The sequence below is a fragment of the Homo sapiens genome, chromosome 15, assembly GCF_000001405.40.
Source record: "Homo sapiens chromosome 15, GRCh38.p14 Primary Assembly".
Taxonomy (NCBI): domain Eukaryota; kingdom Metazoa; phylum Chordata; class Mammalia; order Primates; family Hominidae; genus Homo; species Homo sapiens.
The window spans coordinates 20,015,330-20,023,989 of NC_000015.10; positions in this window are offsets into that span (position 1 = coordinate 20,015,330).

Consider the following 8,660-nt stretch of genomic DNA (forward strand, 5'->3'; position numbering starts at 1 on the left):
CCCGGTGTAAGTCCTTGTTCAATGAGATGGACAGAATTTGGCCTTCTAGGATGTCATTTATAACATTTGGCTCTTTGCCAAAATGCAAGTAACCCATGTTTTACTCTGGGGACTGTGGAGTGTGATCCCGTTCATAGACTTTTCCATGTTTCTCCAAATCCTGGAGCAGTTCTTATGGGAACTGATTAGTTTTGTGAAAGTCTAAACTTCACCCATAAAGCCATCTTGGCCTGAAGTCATCTGTGAGGGCAATTATTTAATAATCTTAATGCTTTCTTGAGGATTATTGTTCCAACTACGATTTCCATTTCTTCTTGAGTCAGTTTTAAGTTTTATTGCTAGAAAAGAAAAATGCCAACTTGCCGTCATCTCTGCCGTCACTATTTTGTGTTCAACAATTGCCTTCTGTATCTGCTGTGTCTTCCCCAGCACAGAAGCTGTAATGTTATTAAACAAAGCAATGTATCCAGATCACTCAGAATCTATGCCTGTCACGGGGAGCAGGAGATGAGGGTGAATGAAGAGCCAGAGCATGGCAGGGGAGCCACTGCAAGGATGCTGAAACTCATGTGAACAGAGTTGCTGTAGGCAGGCCACCATGGAACCTTGCGGGGGAAGCACTGCCTCTTAGGAATGGCAGTGAAAATGGGAGAAGAGGGTGGTATTGCCTCCAGATAGAAGATGCAGTGCTTTGCCTTGCTCCTTGGTGCATGGAGAGGGAAAGGGATGCTGCTATAAAGTTCCTGGCTGGACTTTGGCTTGATAAGGCATGGGTACCTTTGGGAGTATGAGGGCGGGTGGGTTTGTGCACATCTTCCACGAGGAGCTGTTAGTATTGGGGCAGACGTTTCAAGTATGGCAAACAAAGGATGTTCTGCATGGGGAAATGTGGTGACATCCATTTCACAAGGACAGCTCACATAGATTGAGTGCTCAGGAAGGACCAGCATCATACCCAGTGCCTGATGTGTATCATCTCAATTAGTCCTTGCCTCAAATGCAAAAGGAAGCCATTGCCATCTTCATCACCACCATCATCATCATCCTCCTGTGCAGATGGAAAAGCTGAGGCATAGAGAGGTGACGGAGTCTGCCCAAGACTGCAAGCCTGCTGGTGGCAGAGCCAGATTCCAATGGAATGAAGGTTGTCATCCTCAGATGGCAGGGTAGGCAAGTGGCTAGAGCTCACTTGGGAGAAGGGGAAAGGACACTGACATTGGCTAGGGATGGAGCAGGGCTTGGGCTGGCTTTCCATGCACGGGCAGTGGGCCTGGCTCATGGCTGTGCTCCAGCCCCGGGTGTGGACATTGAATCTTCCAGGTCTACCCTAGGCTATGGGTTTGGACAGCACTGTGATGGAAAGAAGACGCTCTATGTCCTGCAGTCTGTGACCAATGATGTGACTGTGGGAATGGCGCTGGCATCTGGCTGCCACTCTGGGACGGGTGGCCAGCTGCCATCAGGCCCTGGGATGGGACCACCATACGACTTCTTCCCTCGCTCCTCCAGGTCATGTCCACAGCCCAGGAGGACCAGCAAAGCCTCTCAAGCCGATGGCAGCTCACGTTCTGCCTTGTCAGCTACTCCTCTCCTGGGCAACATTGGCTGCTTGCTGTGGCTCTCCCTGGGGTACGTGACTGCCTCTGTGCTGGGCGCCTGGCCTGGGCTTTCCTTCTGGGCCTGGGCAGCTGGGCTCAGCTTGGACCCAGGCAGCAGCCACAGAGGGGCCCATGGAGGTGACAGAGTTGCTTCTATGATGGTGAACGGGCAGCTGTGACACGGGGGAGGCGACCACTCCTTAGTTTCCAAGTGCTGCGGTCAGGGCCAGGGCCAGCAAAGTCCCTCCCATATTCAAAGAGTGGGTTTGGGTTTGTCCCAGGAGGACATAGTCAGGAGCCCATGCTGGGACATGCCTCCTCCAAAGTTCAGCCTGGACCCCAGCCTCTGCCAACGGCCCCGCTCCTTAGCTAACCCAGCTTACTCCTGGGTTCCACGGCAGAGTCAGATGTTTCTGGGTACTTTCACCTTTGTGCCTTAAAGCATGTTGAGGACTTTAAGGAATTGTGGAGAAATAGGGCTGTGCCAAAGGCAAGTGACAACCGGGAACAATGATCCCACAGAGGCTGCTGAGGCCTGGGCCCCAGGGGCGTGAGTTCATCCTTCTGCCTGGGCTTTGGTGAGAGGGGCAGACTCTGTGGTCTGAGACACAAAAAAACCCCAAAACATACTTGTGTACAGACACACAGCAGAGGCACACACACACTTGGGCCCATGCACACACTCACAGGAGGCTCGTGGACTCCGCACAGTGAAGAAACTCCTCCGGTCGACAGTGGAAGGTGCTGCAGCAGGGACCCACCCCCAAGCCCTGCCTGCCTCCCATTGCCCACCTGGCCCTGGCTTGATGGGCTCATCTCATGCTGTGGCTGGGGCCTCTTGCTTCCTGCAACCCCTTGCTGGCCTGGGGCCTGGGCCTCTCCGGGGCTGTGCCTAGGGTTTGTAACCCAGGGCCTGTGCTGGCGTGCACAGAGCATCTCTCCCTGGGAGGCTCAGGGCTGCCTCCTCGAGTTCTGTGGGCCTGCACCGGCTGGTGAGCCTGTGGTGTGCATTTTTGGGCTGTATCCTTCTACTTCCTGAGTCCAGGGGTCCCAGGTACCCTGCAGCTGTCTCCTCAGCCACCCTGTGGGGCCCCGAGACCTTGCCCTCACTTCAGTGCCCGGGTGCTCCAGCTCTGCCCAGGTGCCAGGCGAAGGTGTGAGCATGAGCCTATCGGACACACCTGGCAATGTATACCGGGTGTCCCACCCCTGCCACCACGGGGCCTCCCAATACGGCAACCGCCAAGGACCTGTGGGGACCAATGAGGAAAGAGAGACGCAGGTCTGGGCCAGGCTCACAGGGACTCCGCCATAGCAGACCCTGCCCCAGCAGGCCCCCTTGTCCTTCCTGGGCCCTGGTCCTTCATGAGGAACTAGCCCATCCCTGGTGGGGCTCCCACCCCACTTCTAGTGGGCTCCATGCTTGTCTTGTCAGAGTCACCCCTCAGGCAGTGGCAGGATCCTCTCCTTTAGACCCACTGTGCCTTCCGGGCCTCCTGGGCTTCTGCTGGGGACAGAAGAAATGCCTCCCCAGGTCTGTCTCTGGAGGCTCTGAGGGAGATGGGCTTGGGGGCTCTAGGAGGAGGCAGGGATTCCAGGGTGTTAGGAAGGCAGGGGTGCAAGGTCCCACCCAGTGAAGTAACAAGCCGTGGGTGGTGACAGTGACCCAGCGCCCTCGCTGCCCAGCCCTGCCTGTCCCCAGCCAGCACTGCAGGGAACCCAGTGAAGTAACAAACCGTGGGTGGTGACAGTGACCCAGTGCCCTCACTGCCCAACCCTGCCTGTCCTCAGCCAGTGCTGCAGGGATCCCAGGCCCAGACTCTGCAGGCCTTCACTGATCCTGGCCACCCAGAAAGGCTGCAGCCTGCGGGCACCAGCCGGGCCACATGCCCAGTGCCAGCTAGGGCCCACCGCCCATCCTTCACACAGGGCTGCTGGGTAGGTGCCCCTCACACCCCCAGGATGTCAGTGCTCACCTCGAGCAAAGTGCCCCAGCTTGGCCTTGGGAGGCGGTCATGTCCCGGGGCATGATGGAGAGCTGTCCAACTGAGAGAGAGGGAGGGAGGGAAGGAGGGAGGGAAAGAGACAGAGAGAGAGAGAGAGAGAGAGGAGGTGTGGGCTCTAAGGCTGCCTTAGTGGAGTTGTGCGTGGCCTGCACCTCACCAAGCCTAGCCACTCTCACCGCTCTGAGTGGCTCACAGGCTTGTGAGGGCCCCGTCGCTGCCTGCTGGGTCCCCACCAGGGCTCCCTCTAGGAATGCGCCATGGCTGCTATGACAATTTGCACAGCCCAGTGGCTTAAACACCACACATTTATACCACAGGTCCAGATGAATCCTACAGGGCCAAGGTCTAGGTGTGCTGGAGGCCATGCTCCCTCCAGGCTTGCGGGGAGAACTTCCCTGCCTCTTCTAGTCTCTGCATCCCTGAGCTCTCGGCTCCTCCTCCGTCTTCAGGGCCAGGGCGTAGCATCTGCTCTCTCAGCCTCTGCCTCTGCTTCCGACCTCATCTGGCTTCTGTCTATGTCAGTCTCCCTCTGCCATCCTCCTAGAAGGACACCTGTGATTATATTAGGGCTCACCTCTTTAATCCAGGAGCACCTCTCCACTTCATGATTTTCAGCTAACTTCCTTCTGCAAAGACCCCCTTTCCCTATAAGGGCACACATTCACTGGTCCCGGGGCTAAGGACCTTGCTCCAAGTCCCTCCACCCATGATGTTGTGCCTTCCAGAAACCTGTCCTCTGCAGTTCGGTCTTGACCCCAAGCCTGCTGGTGACCTGAACATCACAGGGTTATCCCCTTGGGCCGTGTGCAGCATGATGCAATTTCTTGGCCTGAATGTCATGCTCCCTGGGGCAGGACCTTGAGCCTGCAGCACACACTAGGCCACCTGCAGCCTCACAGGCCATGCCCTGGGTAGACAGGGAGGTGCTCAACCCCAGCTCGGGTCCTCTAGTCTGCCTGGCTACCATGCTTCTCATTCTCCTGCATCTGCAGACCCTGGGTTGCCATGTGAGGCAGGGGTGGGGTGGGGCTGAGGGCGTGGCTTTGGTCCCTGGCTGTCCGGATGAAGCACCAGAGTGATGACACAGCCCATCCCGGTGACATGCTCACCCCCAACCCCCATGTCCGGGACCCCGGTCTTGTGTGGTCCCTGATGTGGAGTCCTCAGTCCTTAAGATACATCCAGAAAGTCCTGGCCATGAATTGGGGGTGCAGAGTCCTGCAGAGCCGCTGGGCTGGGCTGGTGCCCCCAGGAGATGGAGGGTCTGGTGGATGCCCTCCTCCCTCAGAGCTGGGGCAGCTGCCTCCCAGGGGTGGGACCGTGGGCTCAGAGAGAGGCCCTTGAGCTGCAGCTCAGGGGAGTGTGAGGCTTCATGGAGTGTGTCCTGGTCCATGTGGTCCACGTGTCTCCATCTCCAAGGAGAGGCTCCTCAGTGTGCATCCCCATATCCGTCCTCTCTGCCGGCCCCCGGCATCTGAGCAGTCATTCCCTGTCAGCACCTCTGCAGCCTGCTGGGCCTCAGGTTCGCTGTGAGGGACCTCCCCGGCCTTCCGCGGAGGTGGAGTAAGCTCCGTCAAGGCAGGTGGCTTCGTCCCTTCCTGTGAGTGACACCAGTGATGAAATGGACCCCTCCACACAGGCATCCTCAGGGCACAGGGCCCTGGGGGCACCTTCCTCCTTTCTTATTTGTTGAGAAAAAAAAGTGGCATTGGGCTCACACCAGGATGCTGGTGCAGAGCTGACATGCTCGGGAAAGGTCAGAGGTCACTGGGGGTGGGAAGGTCATCCAGTCCAGACTCAGCACCTTGTGGGCTGGTAAACTGAGGCTCAAAGTGCTGGTGCCAGGCCTAAGGCCTCGCGGTGACTGCTGTCTCTGGTTCCCAGCACCTGCCTGAGACCTGCCCCAGGCACCCATAACCTGGAATTCCGTTTCCTTGTCCAGGGCCTGAGGAAATGGCTCCCCAGGTCTGTCTCTGGAGGCTCTGAGGGAGACGGGCTTGGAGGCTCTAGGAGGAGGCAGGGATTCCAGGGTGTCAGGAAGGCAGGGGTGCCAGGTCCCACCCAGTGAAATAACAAACCGTGGGTGGCATTTCGGCCTCCCTGCCTTCCCCACTGGGTGTGCTGGTGCTGGTGCTGCTGGGTCAGGGCTGCCCGTGACCCCAGACACCACTGTCCGTCCTGTGAGGCTCCTGTCTGGGCATGTCCTGGGTGGATTCCTCCTTTCTGTTAAGTAGCTACATGAGGCAGGGGCTCCTGGATCCAAAAAAAATGACAGGAATTCCAGAGCCAGGTGCATCCACTCAGGACAGCCAGTGTTCGTGGAGCTGCCTCTCCACAAGTGAAAGTCAGCCCGCCCCTCTCATGAGAAAAGAACCTGTGGATACCTCTCAGCCTCCAGCGTTGCAAGTGCAAGGCCAGTGGAGTTAATCTGCAACGTGCATGAGGGCATGTGTCAGTGGCTGTGTGCAGGAGCGTGAGTGAGCAAGAGTGAGAGTGCATGGCTCCTGCTGTACCTCAAAGTGTGGGCTCCTGGTGGCTGCTCAGCGTTCCCAGGGGTGAGAGGCCTCATGCATCCTAGGCTGTCTATATATAGACACAGATTTTCTTCTCTGTGGTCTGGAGCGCCGCCTGGTGGTCTTGTGCTTCCCTGCAGGGAGGTTTGTGTCTGGGCTCACACTGAGGTACCCATTCTGTCTCCCACGGGAATGTGTGGCCCTGCCCTTGGCCATCACGGAGCTCAGCTGCAGGGATAACTGGGCCTTGGATGTGTCTCTGCAGATGGACAGTTGGCCCAGAAGGGTGGGCTGAAGTGTGTGCTGCCCCTGGAGCTGAGGTGCCCCAGTGCCTTCCCAGAGTGCTGCTGGGTCCAGGCCCAGAGGTCTGTGAGGACCTCACCAGCCCTGGGCATGACTCTAGTAGCTGCACTTGATGCAGGACACTCAGGGCCAAGAAGCAAAGACATGAGTCGCAAACGGACACCACAGCCCACAGCCCCAGTTCTGAAATCTCTGAGACACTCACATGGAAGTATAGCCATCAGGCAGAGGACGACGCAGAGAGATCTCATGTTTTCCTCAACAAGGGGCACGACTTTCCCAGTGGCCTCTCCAGGACAGAACAAGAAAAAATAACTGGCTCTCTCTAGCCTGAGGTTGCATTTCGCCGAGTCTCTGGGATGGAAATGTGTCTTGTGTCTTCAGGAGTCTGCAGGGCAGCCGCTGCTGTGACTCAGGTAGAAACTTCTCTCCCCTGATGTCCTGGCCCCTTGTTATCCCTGCCACGGTGGAATCAGACTGGGCACCGCTTTCGGGAGAAACGGAGGACATGGAGTGACGGCTGGGTAGTGGAGACTATTGAAAGGAGTCAAAACTCTCCAGGGGAAGAGACGCCTCCAGGAACCCTTGGCATTGTTTTCTTCACTTCGCAGGAGTAGGAAGGAGCTGAGAGTCTAGAGAGAGCCTCAGATGCACAACCCTAATTTGGCATATCAGGGAGCAATCTCATCAGCCCAGGAGAAGGCCCAGGAGAAGGGTCAGCTCTTTGTGCCTCTGCAGAGAAGCGGCAGGGACTGGGAGGGCTTTTTCCCTGCCCAGCAGGTGGTGCTGCCTCCTTGTTCCCTGCTTGGCACAGCCTCGGGGTGCAGCTGCTGGCTTTCCCAGGGCCTGTGGAGAGCGTCTTCTTGGTACTTCCTTAACGTCAAATAAAGTGAACGCCTTCTCAATGCACATCTTAATTCATCATTGGAAAGGCCAAAACACACACACACACACACACCCCTATATTTTTTTCTGACAAGAGCTAGAGACAATTGATAAGTATGTTATCTGACTATAGCTCACCTTAAGGAGGAAAAAACTATTAAGAAATTTCTTAAGTGTAAATTGTGCCTAATCATGTGTAAATTAGTAACAGAAGCAAAAAATAATAACTGCAGTCAACTTATACACTTTAAAAGAATACTCTGTGAAACAATGACATGTTATCAAAAAAGGGATACTTAATTTGTTATGTGTGGTGACGGTCAATGAGCAGACTTGTGTTCTTGCTGGAGAAGTCACAGCATCCCCACAGGTGGACTTCCTGCAGCAATCTTGCATGCCTCACACTTCTGTCCAAAGCACGTAAGGGAGGAGCTCAGTGCGCACAGGAACCTGACGCCTGCCACCCAAGGGATGCGTGAGCTTCCGTATAAGCAGAAGAAGATGGAAACTTCAGCACCTGCAACAGAAGAGGCTTTCTGCTTTGGGGACCCAAACAGTTCCATCTATGGTGGAGGTGTAGGCTCATTCCTACATCAACGTCAACAAGCCATTGAACACAACAACATTTAGGAGTAGTCGAGCCCACCTTCTCCAATGTGGCCTGCACAGCCCAGGCTGCAGGGTGGGAGAGGTTGATTCTGGAGAAAAGTCATTCCTGCTCCCCTGGTACACTCTCCTCCCCCACTGCTTCATACAGAGACCAATGTGATGATGCCATCATGATGTTGAAGCACACACTGAACCCTGTAATCAATTAAAGGGTTTTCCCATCCACCCATCCACACACACATCCACCCATCCACTCACCCATCCATCCATCCATCACTTATCCATGCATCCATCCACCCACCCAGCCATGCATTCATCCAGCCATCCCACAATCCACCCACCCACCCACACATCCAAACATCCATCCACTAATTCATGCATCTGTCCACCCATCCAGCCATCTGTTAGCAGGAGCGAATCCATACAGGTCTGCAGCAACTTGATTCTTGCCTCCTTGGAGGAAAGAATTTGGCCAAGGGGCATGCAGAAGAGTGAGAGACCCAAGCAAGTTTTAGAGCAGGAGTAAATGTTTATTAAAGTTTTAGAGTGGGAACGAAAGGAAGTAAAGTACACTTGGAAGATGGCTAAGTGGGTGACTTGAGAGATCTAAGTGCTCTGCCTGGCCCTTGACTTGGGGTTTTATACATTGGCATGGTTCTGGGATTTGTATTTCTTCTCCCTTGATTTTTCCCTTGGGGTGGGATGTCCACATGTACAGTGGCCTGCCAGTGCTTCGGAGGGGCCGC